The 16765-nt window shown below is 53.5% G+C and overlaps 1 protein-coding gene across 2 annotated transcripts, besides 3 other annotated features; it reads right to left on the reverse strand.

Moving 5' to 3' along the window:
- Nucleotides 1-8462: 8462 nt before the first annotated feature.
- S1PR5 (sphingosine-1-phosphate receptor 5) lies at nucleotides 8463-13686 on the reverse strand. Of its 2 annotated transcripts, none has more exons than NM_001166215.2 (2): nucleotides 13545-13686; nucleotides 8463-10750 (listed from the first exon to the last, which is right to left on the reverse strand). In NM_001166215.2, exon 2 carries the CDS (start codon nucleotides 10730-10732, stop codon nucleotides 9536-9538), a length of 1197 nt encoding a protein of 398 aa, NP_001159687.1. In that variant the 5' UTR covers nucleotides 10733-10750; nucleotides 13545-13686; the 3' UTR covers nucleotides 8463-9535. The 2 variants fall into 2 exon arrangements, with proteins under 2 accessions (NP_001159687.1, NP_110387.1); NM_030760.5 differs by lacking the exon at nucleotides 13545-13686 and adding an exon at nucleotides 13119-13168.
- Nucleotides 10458-11051: an enhancer, noted in NCBI's record as "H3K4me1 hESC enhancer chr19:10625413-10626006 (GRCh37/hg19 assembly coordinates)". NCBI's record gives its function as "activates a minimal SCP1, AML or CMV promoter by ChIP-STARR-seq in naive H9 embryonic stem cells {active_cell/tissue: H9 hESC(naive)}" and the evidence as "EXISTENCE:reporter gene assay evidence [ECO:0000049][PMID:30033119]".
- Nucleotides 11052-11645: an enhancer, noted in NCBI's record as "H3K4me1 hESC enhancer chr19:10626007-10626600 (GRCh37/hg19 assembly coordinates)". NCBI's record gives its function as "activates a minimal SCP1, AML or CMV promoter by ChIP-STARR-seq in primed H9 embryonic stem cells {active_cell/tissue: H9 hESC(primed)}" and the evidence as "EXISTENCE:reporter gene assay evidence [ECO:0000049][PMID:30033119]".
- Nucleotides 14513-15075: an enhancer, noted in NCBI's record as "H3K27ac-H3K4me1 hESC enhancer chr19:10629468-10630030 (GRCh37/hg19 assembly coordinates)". NCBI's record gives its function as "activates a minimal SCP1, AML or CMV promoter by ChIP-STARR-seq in naive H9 embryonic stem cells {active_cell/tissue: H9 hESC(naive)}" and the evidence as "EXISTENCE:reporter gene assay evidence [ECO:0000049][PMID:30033119]".

The following is a 16765-nucleotide window of genomic DNA, read 5'->3' on the forward strand; positions in this document are numbered from 1 at the left end:
GTTGGGATTACAGGCGTGAGCCACCGCGCCCGGCCTTCCTTGTCTTTATTTTTGATTTACTTCCTATCAAGAGGCGTGTGGCACCCGTCTTTGGGGGGTTCAAACCCTGGATCTGCCTCTTACCAGCTCAGTGCCCGTGGGCGCTTACTTAGTTCTCTATGGTTCAGTTTCCTCTCTATAAAAAGTAATAATATAATAGCACCTACCTACCAGATTATCATTAAGACTAAATGCGGGGCCGGGCGCGGTGACTCACACCTGTAATCCCAGCATTTTGGGAGGCCGAGGCAGGCGGATCACGAGGTCGGGAGATCGAGACCATCCTGGCTAACATGATAAAACCCCGTCTCTACTAAAAATACAAAAAATTAGCCGGGCGTGGTGGCGGGCGCCTGTAGTCCCAGGTACACAGGAGGCTGAGGCAGGAGAATGGCGTGAACCCGGGAGGCGGAGCGTGCAGTGAGCCAAGATCACCGCACTGCACTCCAGCCTGCGCCACAGAGCGAGGCTCTGACTCAAAAAAATAAATAAGTAAATAAAAAATAAAAATATTAAATGCGAATGCTGGCTCCCAAGAGACAGAAACCATTGCTATTTTTCATGACTGGGGATACTGATTTGTCATGCACACCGTTTATCATGTAACGTTAACTTTTAAATAAATGTATGTAAGTTTATTTTAAAGAATTCATCTAGGCTGGGTGCGGTGGCTCACATCTGTAATCCCAGCACTTTGGGAGCCGAGGTGGGTGGATCACGAGATCAGGAGTTCAAGACCAGCCTGGCCAACATGGTGAAACCCCCATCTCTACTAAAAATACAAAAATTAACCGGGCGTGGTGGCGGGCGCCTGTAATCCCCAGCTACTCGGGAGGCTGAGGCAGAGAATTGCTTGAACCCGGGAGGCAGAGGTTGCAGTGAGCAGAGATCGCGCCACCACACTCCAGCCTGTGCAACAGAGTGAGACTCTGTCTCAAAAAAAAAAAAAAAAAAAGAAAAAAAAAGAATTCATCTAAATTTCATCCAAATTATAATTATTTTTAAAAGATAGAGAGGCCAGGCGCAGTGGCTCATGCTTGTAATCCTAGCACTTTGGTAGGCCAAGACGGGTGGATCACCTGAGGTTAGGAGTTCGAGACCGGCCTGACCAATATGGTGAGACCGCCGTCTCTACTAAATACAAAAAATTAACCGGGTGTGGTGGTGGGTAAGTGAAGGTTGCAGTGAGCCGAAATCCTGCCATTGCACTCCAGCCTGAGCAACAGCGCGAGACTACGTCTCGAAAGGAAAAGAAAAAAAAAAAAGATAGATGGGATTTCGCCATGTAAGTGAATAATAAATGGAAACTCTAGGCCCCTGGAGCCTCCAGGGTGAATTTGAAAGATTGAACGTCCTGGCTCAGGGTCTGGAAGGAATCACGTGTAGGGCTACGTTGGAGTTACCCCGCTACCCCAAATCCTTGTTGCGTGTAGATGCAGTTCCAGACAGCTCCTCAGGGGGGCGGCCTAGATAGTCCGTGAACACGCTGAGTGGCCGAGGTTGTAACCAGCGCCTTCCTGGCACGTTGCAGAAAACAACCTCTCTAATATCTCTCAAAATCAAACCTACAGGTCCAGTGAGCCAGGTGCTTGTAGAGATTTATCCAAGGTGCACTCGCACACATACAGGAGGAAGCATGTGCACACATTCATTGCATTATAATGCATATCATGGCAAAAGGACTGGATCCCATTCACATGTCCCTCTGTAGAGCCCTGGCTTAATCAGTGGTGGCACATCCTTGCTAAGAAATACTATGCAGCCAGTTAAAAGGAGCAGTACATTTACTGTATGGATATGTACCTAGATCTTCTATTTTTTCTTTTCTCTTTTTCTTTTTCGATTTTCATTTATTTATTTATTTATTTATTTATTTATTTTTGAGACGGAGTCTCGCACTGTCACCCGGGTTGGTGTGCAGTGGTGTGATCTTGGCTTGCTGCAACCTCTGCATCCCGGGTTCAAGCGATTCTTCTACCTCAGCCTCCCAAGTAGCTAGGATTACAGGTGCCTGCCACCATACCCAGCTAATTTTTTGTATTTTTAGTACAGACAGCGTTTCATCATGTTGGTCAGGCTGGTCTTGAACTCCTGACCTCGTGATCCTCCCGCCTCGTCTTCCCAAAGTGCTGGGATTACCGACGTGAGCCACTGCACCCAGACTCTTTTTTTATTTTATTTATTTATTTTTCTTTTTTTGAGACAAGGTCTTGCTCTGTCACCCAGGCTGGAGTGCGGTGGCACAATCATAGCTCACTTCAGCCTTGACCTCCTGAGATCAAGTGATCCTGCTGCCCCAGCCTCCCAAGTAGCTGGGACTACAGTCACTCACTACCACACCCAGCTAACTTCCCCCCACCCTTTTTTTCTTTCTTTTGTAGAGCTGGGGCTTCACCATGTTGCCCAGGCTGATCTCGAACTCCTGGGCTCGACGGATCCTCCCTACTTGGTCTCCCAGAGTTCTGGGATTACAGGTGTAAGCCACCACGCCCCACCTCTTTTTTTTTTTTTTTTTTTTTAACAGGGTCTTGCTGTCACCCAGGATGGCGTGCAGCAGTGCAATCATGGCTCACTGCAGCCTCGAACTCCTGGCTCAAGCCATCCTCCTGCCTCAGCCTCCCAAGTAGCTGGGACCACAGGTGTATGCCACCACACTTGGCTAAGTTATTTCTTTTTTGTAGAGATGGTGTCTCACTATGTTGCCCAGGTTGGTCTCAAACTCCTGGGCTCAAGTGATCCTCCTGCTTCAGCCCTGCAAAGTGCTGAGATTACAGGCATAAGTCACTGTACCTGACCAGGCCTCTATTTTTTTAATGTAAAAAAAGAGCCAGGCCCAGTGGCTTACGCCTGTCATCCCAGCACTTTGGGGGGCCGAGGCGGGCAGATCACCTGAGGTCAGGTGTTCGAGACCAGCCTGACCAACACAGTGAAACCTCGTCTCTACTAAAAATACAAAATAAGCCAGGTGTAGTGGCGCATACCTGTAATCCCAGCTACTCAGGAGGCTGAGGCAGGAGAATCACTTGAACCCCGGAGGTGGAGGTTGTGGTGAGCTGAGATCGTGCCACTGCACTCCAGCCTGTGCAACAAGAGCAAAACTGCATCTCAAAAAAAGAAGTGCTATGGACCAAATTATGCACCCGTACCCCCTTTTCGTGTGTTGCAGCCCTAACCCTCAATGGAATGGTATTTGGAGATGGGGCCTTTGGGAAGCGATTAGGTCTAGATGAGGTCATGAAGGTGGGAACCTCATGATGGGATTAGTGTCTTTATAGGAAGAGCACACCAGAAAGTGTTCTCTCTTTCTTTTTTCTTTTCTTTTTTTTTTTTTTTTTTTTTTTTGAGACAGGCTGGAATGCAGTGGTGCCATCTCCACTCACTACAACCTCCGCCTTACAGGTTCAAGCAATTCTCCTGCCTCAGCCTCCTGAGTAGCTGGAGTTACAGATGTGTGCCACCACACCCAGCTGATTTTTGTATTTTTAGTAGAGATGGGGTTTCACCATGTTGGCCAGGCTGATCTTGAACTCCTGGCCTCAGTTGATCCACCTGCCTCAGTCTCCCAAAGTGTTGGGATTATAGTCATGAGCTACCTCGCCCGACCTGCTCTCTGTTTCTTTCCCCAACATGTGGGAACACAGTGAGAAAGCGGCTGTCTGCAAGCTCAGAAGAGAGTCCTCACTAGAACACAACCATGCTGACATTCTCTTTTTTTGAGACCATGTCTCGCCCTGTCGCCCAGGCTGGAGTGCAGTGGAGTGATCTCCGCTCACTGCAACCCCTGACTCCTGGGTTCAAGCGATTCTTCTGCCCCAGCCTCCGGAGTAGCTGGGATTACATGCGCATGCCGCCACACCCAGGTAATTTTTTGTATCTTTAGTAGCAACGGGGTTTCACCATGTTGGCCATGCTGGTCTCAGATTCCTGACCTCGTGATCCACCTGCTTCGGCCTCAGTGCTGAGATTACAGGCGCGAGCCACTGCTCCTGGCCTTTTTTTTTTTTTTTTTTTTTTTTTTTTTCCGAGACAGAGTCTCGCTCTGTAATCCAGGCTGAAGTGCAATGTCGCGATCTCAGCTCACTGCAACCTCCACCTTCTGAGTTCAAGCAGTTCTCCTGCCTTAGCCTCCCCAGTAGCTGGGATTACAGGCACCTGCCACCACGCCTAGCTAATTTTTTTTTTGTATTTTTGGTAGAGACAGCTGTTTCACCGTGTTGGCCAGGCTGTTCTCGAACTCCTGATCTCAGGTGATCCGCCTGCCTGGGCCTCCCAAAGTGCTGGGATTACAGGCGTGAGCCACAGTGTCCGGCCCCAGGCTGCCATTCTGATATTGGACTTCCTACCCTCCAGAACGATGCAAAAGTAATTACTGGGACTTAAGCCACCCCATCTAGGGTATTTGTTATGCAGTCCAAGCTGACTAAGAGCAAGACATTACAAAATGTGTGGGTATTGCCAGGCGCTGTGGCTCATGTCTGTAATCCCAGCACTTGGGAGGCCGAGGCAGGTGAATCACTTGAGCTCAGGAGTTTGAGACCAGCCTCAAAAAAAAAAAAATTAGCTGTGTGTGGTTGTGAGCTGTGTTGTGGTTTTGAGCTCTGTGGTTGTGAGCCAGGTGTGGTGTGGGGATATTTGGTCCCAGCTACTACACGGGAGGCTGAGGCAGGAGTAGTATTGCTTGAGCCTGAGAGGTGGAGGCTGCAGTGGGCCATAATTGTGTCAAATGCACTCCAGCCTGGGCAACACAGCAAGACCCTATCTCAAAAACCAAACAAACAAGAAAATGTGTGGGTGTGCAATATTTTTGCAAGATATACTTTTCAAAAAAATTTTTTAGACAGGTCTTGCTGTATCACCCAGGCTGGAGTGCAATTGTACAATCATAGCTCACTGCAGCCTTGACCTCCCAGGCTCAGGCGATCCTCCCACTCCAGCCTCCCCAGTGTCTGGGACCATAGGCATGTGCCACTGTGCCCGGGTGATTTTTTTTTTTTTTTTAGATAGTGTCTCACTCTGTTACTCAGATTGGAGTGCAGTGGCATGATCTCGGCTCCCTGCAACCTCTACTTCCTGGGTTCAAGCAATTCTCATGCCTCAGCCTCCTGAGTAGCTGGGATTACAGGAACCTGCCACAACGCCTGGCTATTTTTTGCATTTTTAGTAGAGACGGGGTTTCACCATGTTGGCTAGGCTTGTATCTAACTCCTGGCCTCAAGTAATCCTCCCGCCTTGGCCTCCCAAAGTGCTGGGATTACAGGCATGAGCCACCATGCCCGGCCCACCTGGGTGATTTTTGAATCATTTCTAGAAACTGGGTCTCCCTATGTTGTGTGGGCCTATCTCCAACTACTGGGCTCAAATGATCCTTCTGCCTCAGCCTCCCAAAATGCTAGGATTACAGGCGTGAGCCAACATGCCCTGCCAAGATATACTGTTAAGTCAACAAAGCAACATGCAGAACAGTGATAAATTTGTACAAAAAGACAGGAGGTGTATTTACATTTCATTTTGGCAAGGTGAATCCACAGACTAGCTCTGGAAGGTCCCCAGGAGTCCCACTGTGATCGCCACAAGGAAGGGGAACTGCGTGCTTTTTTTTTTTTCTTGAGATGGAGTTTCATTCTTTTTGCCGAGGCTGAAGAGCAATGGCATGAGCTCGGCTCACTGCAACCTCTGCCTCTTGGGTTCACGTGATTCTCCTGCCTTGGCCTCCCAAGTAGCTGGGATTACGGGTGCACGCCACCATGCCCGGCTAATTTTGTATTTTAAGTAGAGACGGGGTTTCCCCATGATGGCCAGACTGGTCTCAAACTCCTGACCTCAGGTGATCCGCCCGCCTCGGCCTCCCAAAGTGCTGGGATTACAGGTATGAGTCCACTGCGCCTGGCTGAACTGGATGCTTTTTAAATTTTCTAGAAAACTCATAAGCAAGTGTGCCTGTGTTCCAACTGGTTGGTTTCCCGTGTGTGTGGCCTCCAGGGGCACTCTGAACGTGGCCAGCAGGGACTTGGGGTCCCCCCAGTCTGGGACACCTGTCCCCAAAACACCGCTTTTTTTGAGGTTGCCTGCAGTTCCAAGGTTTCCCGGAAGGTGGAGCGCTGCAGTCTGAACCCGAAGCCAGACGCCCCCCAACCCGGCCCCAGGGCCCATCCAGCCGTTCAGGGGTCAAGAATGCGCCTGGGGACATGCCGGGGGCAGGGGCCAGCACGTCTGGAGCCTTTTATGGGCACAAACGGCGCCCTGGCATCGTTCCAACCATGAATGCAGACCCCCGTGGGAGGGACTGTTGGCATAGCCTTGCCAGACCCATCTGGAGGGGTCAGATACCAAGCCAGTGCCTCCTGGGGCCTGAAGCTTAAGCTAATGTCCTGGCTCAGACACTGAGACAAGGTAGTCACTGTCTGGAATTTCCTCATCTGTCTAATGGGGATTAGGAAACCTACCTTGCAAAGTTGCTATAAGGCTGAAAAATAGGTGTGTCCCAGAACTGTGCAGAAAACTAGCCAGACAAAATGAACTCTTACTTTAGGCCGGGTGTGGAGGCTCACACCTGTATCCCAGCACTTCGTTGTTGTTGTTGTTGTTGTTATTGTTATTTTGTTTTCTGAGATGGAGTCTTGCTCGGTCGCCCAGGCTGGAGTGCAGTGGCGCGATCTCAACTTACTGCAACCTCCAGCCTCCTGGGTTCAAGTGATTCTCCCTCCTCAGCCTCCCGAGTAGCTCGGACTACAGGCGCGCGGCACCATGCCCGGCTAATTTTTTTTTTTTTTTTTGTATTTTTATTAGAGGCGGAGTTTCACCATGTTGGCCAGGCTGGTCTCGAGCTCCTGACCTCTAGAGATCCGCCTGCCTCGGCTTCCCAAAGTGCTGGGATTACAGGTGTGAGTCACCGTGCCTGGCCTTTATCCCAGCACTTTGGGAGGCCAAGGTGGGTTGCTTGAGCCCAGGAGTTTGAGACCAGCCTGGGCAACGTGGTGAGAAATCATCTCTAAAAAAAAATTCAAAACATGTTTGGTGTGGTGCTCCAGTAGCCCCAGCTACTCGGGTTGGGGGCTGAGGCAAGAGGATCACTTGAGCACAGGAGTTCAGGAGGATCACTTGAGGCTGCAGTGAGCTGGGATTATGCCAGTGTACTCCAGGCTGGGCGACAGAGCAAGATCCTATCTCAAAAAGAAACCAAAAAACGGCCGGGCACAGTGGCTCTACCTGTAATCCCAGCACTTTGGGAGGCTGAGGCGGGCAGATCACGAGGTCAGGAGTTTAAGACCAGCCTGATCAATATGTGAAACCCCATCTCTACTAAAAATACAAAAACTAGCCAGGTGTGGTGGCGGTGCCTGTAATCCCAGCTACTCGGGAGGCTGAGGCAGGAGAATCGCCTGAACCCAGGAGGCGGAGGTTGTAGTGAGCCAAGATTGCAGCACTGCACTCCAGCCTGGTGACGGAGTGAGACTTCATCTCAAAAAAAAAAAAAAGGCCAGGCGCAGTGGCTCACACCTGTTATCCCAGCACTTTGGGAGGCCGAGGTGGGCGGATCACAAGGTCAGGAGATCAAGACCATCCTGGCTAACACTGTGAAACCCCATCTCTACTAAAAATACAAAAAAATTAGCCATGCTTGGTGGCGGGCACCTGTAGTCCCAGCTACTTGGGAAGCTGAGGCAGGAGAATGGCGTGAACCTGGGAGGTGGAGCTTACAGTGAGCCGAGATTGCGCCACTGCACTCCAGCCTGGGTGATAGAGTGAGCCTCCATCTCAAAAAAAAAAAAAAAAGAGAAACCAAAAAACCTCTTATGTTTTCCTAAAAGACATGATTTCATCACACAGGCTGGAGTTCAGTTATGCAAAAATAGCTCACTGCAGCCCCTGAGCTCCTGGGTTCTGGAAATCCTCCTTCTTCAGCCTCCCCAGTAGCTGTGACTATAGGCATGCGTAACCACAACTGCCTAATTTTTAAAATTTTTTGTAGAGATGGGGTCTCACTATGTTGACCAGGCTGGTCTCAAACTCCCAGCCTCAATCGATCCTTCTGCCTCAGCCTCCCAAAGTGTTGGGATTACAGGCATGAGCCACTGTGTCTGGCCTTATTTTGTTATCCTTTTTTTTTTTTTTTTTTTTTTAGACCGAGTCTCACTTTGTTACCCAGGCTGGAGTGCAGCTCTTTGCAACCTCCGCCTCCCAGTTTCAAGGGATTCTCCTGCCTCAGCCTCCCGAGTAGCTGGAACTATATGCGTAAGCCATCACACTTGGCTAATTTTGGTATTTTTAGTAGAGATGGGGTTTCACCATGTTGGCCAAACTGGTCTCAAACTCCTGACATCAGGTGATCTGCCCACCTCTGCCTCCCAAAGTGCTGGGGTTAGAGGCATGAGTCACGGCACCCAGCCTATTATTATTATTTCTTTTAATGAAGGATCTGAAACTGCATTTGAAGAAATTTTATTAACTGGGCATGGTGGTGCATGCCTGTAGTCCCAGCTACTAGGGAGGCTGAAGCAGGAACTCCAGGCTTGATCCCAGGAGTTCCAGGCTGCAGTGAGCTATAATTGTGCCCATTGCACTCCAGCCTGGGTGACAGAGCACAAGATCCCAACTCAAAAAAAAAAAAAAGAAAGAAAGAAAGAAAAGAAAAATAAAAAAGAAATTTTATTACCAGATAGGATTTGGCTGAGTCTCCCAGAGTCAAATTTGGGGGTGCCCCACCCTTGGCATTGTCCTTGATAACTTTATTCCACTCTTACACTCAATTCCTCAGTAATTCTGTCTGCTGCCTCTAAAATCTATCTAGAATCCACGGGGTCTGGGCTTAGCTGGAATCTCCATCATTGTTCCTGTGGCTCAGTGCAGCCCCCCTTCACCTTCTCTGGTTTTCAACCTCCCATGGAGGCCACAAGACACCTGTGATCACCTGAATTAGGGCAAGTCCCTCTTCTGCTTAGAAGCTTCTATGGCTCCCACCTCACTCAGAGCAAAAGCGAAGTCCTCTATATCACCCACAAGGTCCTTCGGGAACTACTCCTTCAGCTCCTTGTCTCCTCCCATTCTCCCCCTCCGTCCCTGCTCCAGGCACACCAGCATCGCTGCATTTCTTAGAACACATGGGCACATTTCAGCCTCAGGGCCTTTGCGCATGCCATTCCCTCATCCTGAAATGCTTTTCTTTTGGTCTTCCCAGGACAGAGGTCTCAGCTCACATCACAAGTCACTACCTCTGCAGAGAGGTCTTCCCTGACCACCATCACCATCTCTGTCGTTTGTCACTGGAATCATCTCCATTATTTCATCACCGAGTTCTTTTCTGTGTTCCCAAGCAGAACGTCAATTCCACGAGGGCACAGATTTTTTGTCTGTTTGTTCACATTGTGGGGTGTCGCTGCATAAATACATTTCCCCTGCATCTTTTCCGACTGCACCTTTGGCTGCATTTCCTACAAATTCCTTTATGTAAAAAGAACAAGTCTGTAAAACTTGGGAAGACAGTCGTGGGCCGAGGGTGTCAGTCTGCAGCCGGTTCTGATACCAGAGTCCGGGCGGCTGTGGGTGCACCGGGGCTGCCTGTGGAGCCGCTGGTGTCCAGCCCGTCGCGCTGGGGCGATGAGCGCTCCGAGCCGCTGAAGCTCCCATCAAGGCCCGGGGGCAGGCAGCGGCGCAGGCCCCCGGAAGCCTCAGCCGCGCTCGCCGACTGCTGGGAGCCACTCGGGTCTCTGCCGCAGGAGTGGCGTCCGCAGCAGACCAGGCGCAGGAGCGCGTGGCGCAGGTCGCGGTTGGTGAGCGTGTAGATGATGGGGTTCAGAAGTGAGTTGGCCATGGCCAGTCCCAGGAAGGGATCGGCCTGCAGGAGTACAGGACAGGTGCGCGCCGGGCACGCCACGTCGAGCAACAGCAGCAGGAAGAGGGGGCCCCAACATGCCACAAAGGCCAGGAGCACCACGCTGAGCGTGCGCAGCAAGGCCAGCGAGCGCGGCTTGCGACGCGCCCGGGTCGAGGTGGTCCCCGCAGTCCCGGGCCGTGCCGGCAGGCGCCGCGCGTTGGCGCGTACCTGGCAGTAGATGCGCGCGTAGAGTGCACAGATAGCGGCCAGGATGCCCACGAAGGCGAGCACGCAGAAGAGCACGTAGGCCTTGGCGTAGAGCGGCAAGACAGTGGAGCAAGCGTCCAGGCGACCCAGGCAATTCCAGCCCAGCGCTGGCAGGAGCCCGAGGAGCAGCGACACGCCCCAGGCCGCGGCTGCCATCGCCAGCGTGCGCCCCCGACTGGAGACGGGCGCGGGCCCCCTGCGCGCCATGGTGAGGCTGCGCTCCAGCGCGATGGCCAGGAGGCTCAGCACGGACGCAGTGAGTGCCACGAAGACGCCTCCCTCCCGTGCGAACCAGAGCGCGGGGGACAGTTTCAGCGTGAGCGGCCCCGACAGTAGGATGTTGGCGGCGTAGGCGGCGCCTGCCAGCAGATCCGACAACGTGAGGCTGCCCAGGAGCAGGAACATGGGAGCGTGGAAGCGCGGGTGGCGTCCGAGCACCAACAACACGGCTAGATTCTCTAGCACGATGAAGGCGCACACCGCCAGGCACACCACGGCGTCGGCGCGCAGGCCGGCACCCGGCTGGTAGCGCGCACCGCGGAGCTTGCCGGTGTAGTTGTAATGCAGGACGATGACCTCGCTCACCGGCGCCGGCCGCAGCAGCCCCGACTCCATGGGCCGCGCGCCCCAAGGCTGTTGGAGAGGCAAGATACGGTGTCAGGCCGCGGTCCCCGTAAGCACGCTCGCAGCAGCCGGCTAAGTCGTGGGAAAGGGGCCCTACCCACTGACCATCACCCCCTATACATGGTGTCCAAGGGGGAGTTCAGGATGGAGGGATAGAGTCCGTGGAGACAGACATACACACAAATAATATCACGAGGGAACAAGGTGACATAGTCCCAAAAAAAGGGACATTAATAACACATGAATGGCTGGGCGCGGTGGTTCACACATGGCTGGGCGCGGTGGCTCAGGCCTGTAATCCCCGCCTGTAATCCCCCCAGGCTCAGGCCTGAGGCAGTGGCTCAGGCCTGGGAGGCCAAGGGGGGCAGATCACGAGGTCAGGAGATCGAGACCATCCTGGCTAACACGGTGAACCCCTCCGTCTCTGCTAAAAACACAAAAAATTAGCCAGGCATGGTGGCACGTGCCTGTAGTCCCAGCTACTCCAGAGGCTGAGGCAGAAGAATCATTTGAACCCAGGAGGCGGAGGTTGCAGTGAGCCGAGATCGCATCACTGCACTCCAACCTAGGTGGCAGAGCGAGACTCTGTCTCAAAACACCCCCCCTCCCCACCAAACACACACACGGCTGGGTGTGGTGGCTCACTCCTGTAATTCCAGCACTTTGGGAGGCTGAGGCGGGAGGATTGTTTGAGGCCCAGGAGTTCGAGATTAGCCTGGACAACATAGGAGAACCCCGTTTCTACAAAAATTAGCCGGGACGTGTTGGTGTATGCCTATAGTCCAAGCTACTCAGTGGAGTCCCAGCTGAGGTGAGAGGATCACTTGAGCCCGCGGGGTCAAGGCTGCAGTCAGTGAGCATTGATTGTGCCACTGTACTCCAGCCAGGACAACAGAGCAAGACTTTGTCTCAAACACACACACACAAACACACAAGCAGGGAGTTCCAGAGACGTAACAGTAAACACACAGAACGCACACAAACGCAACACACACAGAAAGAGACACACAAATACAGCGACACACTACAAGGGCAAAACACACAGTCACACACTATCAGGGAAACTAAAAAATACATCATACAGGAACAGAGTGACGCAGGCAGAAAAACACAGCGACCAAAATTCAGTCACACGAATACAGGGTCTCCCACCCAGTGGCACAGGCCACAATTTCACAACCTCCACTCACACTAGCCTGGGGCCCAGTGCACCACACTCCACACTCTTGTCTCACTGCATACAAAGCTTTTTCCTGCCAAAACCCCCTCATCCACCCAAAACCCCATGAGAAAGTTGCTCCTTGGCCAGGCACAGTGGCTTTCGCCTGTAATCCCAGCACTTTGGGAGGCCGAGGTGGGAGTATCACTTGAGCCCAGGAGTTCGACACCAGCTTGGGCAACATACTAAGACTTCATCTCTACAAAAAAATTTAAAAATTAGCCAGGTGTGGTGTTATGCCCCTATAGTCCCAGCTACTCAAGAGACTGAGGCGGGAGGATCACTTGAGCCTGGGAGGCCGAGGCTGCAGTGAGCCATGATCGCACCCCTGCTCTCCAGCCTGGGTGACAAGAGAGAAACTCCGTCTCAAAAAAAAAAAAAAAAAAAAAAGTTGATCCTATTCACTCATTTTACTAAGGCAGAGCCTGAGGACAGGAGAGAGAATCCACAAGAGGCAAACAGACTCTTACAGAGGGGCACACATGTCATTAAACTGTAATAACACTCCTCACCTGCCTCTGTGACCTTATTAATCCCCACTTCCTTTAGTCCTAATTTACAGATGAGAAAACTGAAGCTCAAAAGAAATGCTTCGTATCGAAGCAGGCGCAAAGGTTTCCATGCTCCCACACAAACATCCATGCACAAATAGTCCCCATGCAAGTCCAGATGAGAAAGCCAAGGCCTGGGGAGGGGAATGGATCTCTTTTGCACAAGGCAGGGATGCGGACATCCCAGAGAGCTTCAGTCACACACAGAGAATCAAGGCAGGCAAACATAGACAGGAAGTCGCTGGCTCACCCATGCTGGAGGTGGGGAGCCCAAATACAGGGAGACAGGGTTACACATGCTCTGAGGGGGAGGCCAACCCCATCCGCCCAGCTTGCCCGGCAGCAGGACTGAAGTATGGAAACTTGCAGTGGCCCGGCCAGGAGGGGGTGGCCAGGGGATTCCAGCCACCTTCACCCCGTATCCCAGGTCCTGCACCCAGCTGGGGAGCCCCCAGCTTCCCCCTCCCCAGAGGCCTCCAGGAAAAGTTCGGAGAACTCCCTGCAAGGAGTGGTGCGCCTTTTTAGACCGGGAAAGTGGCCGCCAGGGCGACCCCCTCCGGGTCAGGCCCAGCCCAGCGCCCCCAAAGGTCCAGTGCAGTCCACTCACTCTGCGCCCTGGTCGTGCGCCACCCGCAGTCGCGCTGCCTTGAACCGAGTGAGCGGACGCCGCTCCGGGGGCGGGGCTGGAGCTGGCAGGCGAGGGGGCGGGCCAGCGACGCAAAGGGCCGGCGGTCGCCAGCAGTTGCCCCCTCCCCTTGGGTCCCGGGCACTCAGCCCATGGCTGCCAGCCTGTGCCACTCGCCGCGGCACCGGAGCGCGCCCCGGCGGCGACTGGCACAGGCGAGCCCTCAGCTGCCCCCTCCGGGCCTGGGCTGTCCTCCCAGGGACGCTCCATCGCGGTGGGAGGACTCGGAGAGGCGGGAAAGGGAGGGTTCTGCAGCAGGGCGGTCGCAGCCTGAGCCTCTTCTCCCCAGCGGAGGGGTCTCCTCTGTCCTGGGTGTCCGGGCACTGCGCCCTCCCATTGCCCACCCACCTGTGAACTGAGCTTCCTGGGCTGCACCCCAAGGACGCCCCGTCGATGATTCGGAGGGGTCTTCAGTGGGTTGCTTAGCAGGAGTCTTCAGTGGGGGCCACCTTAGCCTGAGTCCTCTCCCACCAGCAGATAGGTTCCCGCTGCTCCCGGGCACAGGCCCCTCCCAATTTCCCGCTCCCGCCCCCGGCTCAGGGCGAGTGGGGGTGGGGCGGGCCCGGGCAGGATTGTGATGGGAACTTGCCGCTCCTCAGATAAGGAGGGTCTCTCCTGTCCCACCCCCTGGATTCCGTGTTCCCCCGACCGATTCTCTCCCACCCTTATCGCTGACGACAAAGTGATTTACTCATTAATGGTGTTTCTGGGCTGTGTCCTTAGCAGACAGTAAACCCCAGCAATGTAAGAATTTCTTTTTTTTTTTTTTTTTTGAGACAAGATCTTGCTCTGTGGCCCAGAGTGGAGTGCAGTGGCAACATCATAAGTCACTGCAGTCTCGACCTCCGCGGCTCAAGCCATCCTCCCATCTCAGCCGGCTGAACGTAGCTGCTGGGACTCCAGTCGCTTGCAACCATGCCCAGATAATGAATGAGTGTCTCCCTCACTTCCTCTGTATCTCTCTCAGGAGGATCTCAGAGTCTCTCGCCTGCGTGTCTCTTTGTCTCTGCGTGTCTCTTTGCCTCTGCGTGTCTCTTTGTTGCTGTCTGTGATGCTCTCCCACGCCTCTCCCAGGCCACTGCTCCTCCAACGACCAGTCCCGCTGGCCCCGAAACGCCCCCACCCCGACTTCCCAGGAACTTCCAGACGGTCCCAGCTCTTCCACCCTCAGATTCAGGAAGGGAGGCTGGGTCCCGCTGCTGCGACCTTCTCCAGGACCGTGCCCTTTGCCCCTGATGCTTCAGGCCCTGCTGGCCGCGGGTGGGGTGAGGGCGCCCCAGGAGAGATGAGCCAGAGGCTGAGAATAAGTGTGGATCCGGGATACCCTCGTGGGAGGAAACTCAGGGGGCACTCAGGCCGGGTCAGGCCCCCATGTAGCCCCTTGGGGATCCCAGCCCTCCTGCCCCCGCTGTTCCCTCGGTGGGCAGAACCTTTCCTGCCTGCTCTGCTCAAAGACACAGCCAATGGGACCCGCAGGGTGGGACGGTGTTAACCCTTCAGTGCCAGGTTCCCCAGTCCTGTGGACCAAGCCAACTCCAATGGTGCCCACTGGGATGACCCCTGAAGATCTCCCAGCATGGCTGTGGCTGGCACCCAGTAGGTGCTCAATAAATGACCTCCTTCTGTAAAGGGGAAGCCGCGCCCCAGGGTGGGGAGGTGGCTGCTTCACACCTCCCAGGCGCCAATCTCACTTCTCTCGAAAATGGGGCTCTTCCGGCTGCGGGTCCCGGGCTCAGCAACCTGCCTCTCCAGCTGCCTCCCTGAACTTCTTTCCCACGAATTGGGACCCTGGGGACTCAGGCTCCAGGATCTCGACAGATGTTGGGAGTCCCATCCCTAGCTGCCACTCCACACTCCTGGCCACAGTTCTTAAAACTCAGATCACATTTCTTTTCTGCTCCAAACCCTCCCGTGGCTCCCTGTGTTTCTCAGAGTAAGTGATCAAGTCCTCAGTGAGGACCCCGCAAGGACAAGGCCATATGCCGTCCTGATTTGTCTCTTTCTGTTACTTCTGTGCCTCTCTCTGCTCCACTCTGCTTCTGCCTCCCGGGCTCCTCCGAGTTCCACACACACTTCAAGACTTTTGAACTTGGGGGCCAGGTGGCCTGGAGCACCCTTCTCCCCACCCCTTCCCAGCTGGTCAGCTGGTCACCTCCTCAGAGAGACCTTCCCTGATCTGTCCCTCATCTCAAATGGCAGTTGGCATTATCTGAAATCACCTTGCTTTTGCTTTTTTTTTTTTTTTGTAATCTCCCTTTATTGCCCAGGCTGGAGTGCAGTGGTGCGATTTGGGCTCACTGCAAACTTCGCCTCTGCAACCTCCGCCTCCTGGCTTCAAGCAATTCTCCTGCCTCAGCCTCCAGAGTAGCTGGGATTACAGGAATGCACCACCCCGCCCAGCTAATTTTTGTATTTTTAGTAGAGGCGGGGTTTCACCATGTTGGCCAGGCTGGTCTCCAACTCCTGACTTCAGATGAATCGCCCGCCTCCCCCTCCCAAAGTGCTGGGATTACAGGCGTGAGCCACCGTGCCCGGCCACCTTGTTCATTTCATTTATTTATTCATCTTTCCTAATGTGTATCTCTGACCTAGAGCCTCAGCTCCAGGAAGGCAGGTCTGTCCCTCTGCCCAGATTCCTAAAGGTTAAGGGCTCACAGTTTTTTGATTTTTCTTTCTTTTGTGAGACAGCGCCTCACTCTGTCATCCAGGCTGGGGCACAGTGCCGTGATCACAGCTCCCTGCAGCCTCGACTTTCCAGGCTTCAAGCAATCCTCTGCCCAACCTCCAGAGTAGCTGGGACCGTAGGTGCCAGCCACTGCACCTGGCTACTTTTTAAAATTTTTTGTAGAGACAGGGTCTCGCCAGGTTACCTAAGCTGGCCTTGAACTCCTGGACTCAAGCAATTCTTCTGCCTCAGCCTCCCAAAGTGCTGGGATTACAGGAGTGAGACAGGACTCAAGGTCTTGAGGCAGGCAAGTGATACCCACTGTGAGCCTCAGTGGACTTATCTGTAAAATTGAGATAATAGCCAGGTGCAGTGGCTCATGCCTGTAATCCCAGCACTTTGAGAGGCCGAGGTGGGCAGATCACCTGAAGTCAGGAGTTCAAGACCAGACTGGCCAACATGGTGAAACCCCATCTCCACTAAAAATATAAAACTTAGCCGGGCGTGGTGGCGCGCACCTGTAGTCCCAGCTACTCCGGAGGCTGAGGCAGGAGAATCACCTGAACCTGGCAGGCGGAAGTTGTAGTGAGTCAAGATCGCGCCACTACACTCCAGCCTGAGCAATGCAGTGAGACTCCATCTCAAAAAAAAAATAAAAATAAAATTGAGATAACCGCACCCACTCCAAGGCTGTTGTTGAAGATGAAATGAACAGTTGGAACAGAGCCAAGGTATACAATGAGAGCTCCACAAATGTCAGTGCAGCTATTATTGGTCACCACTGTATCCCCAAAGAAGAATTAGGGCAATGGGCTCATAAGGAATCAGCCCCAGACATTGCCACCACCCGCCCCCACCCCATACCTCCTCCCACACCCCACAGGCCAAACTGTCTCTTCCCGGG

The sequence above is a fragment of the Homo sapiens genome, chromosome 19 (assembly GCF_000001405.40).
Source record: "Homo sapiens chromosome 19, GRCh38.p14 Primary Assembly".
Lineage (NCBI taxonomy): Eukaryota > Metazoa > Chordata > Mammalia > Primates > Hominidae > Homo > Homo sapiens.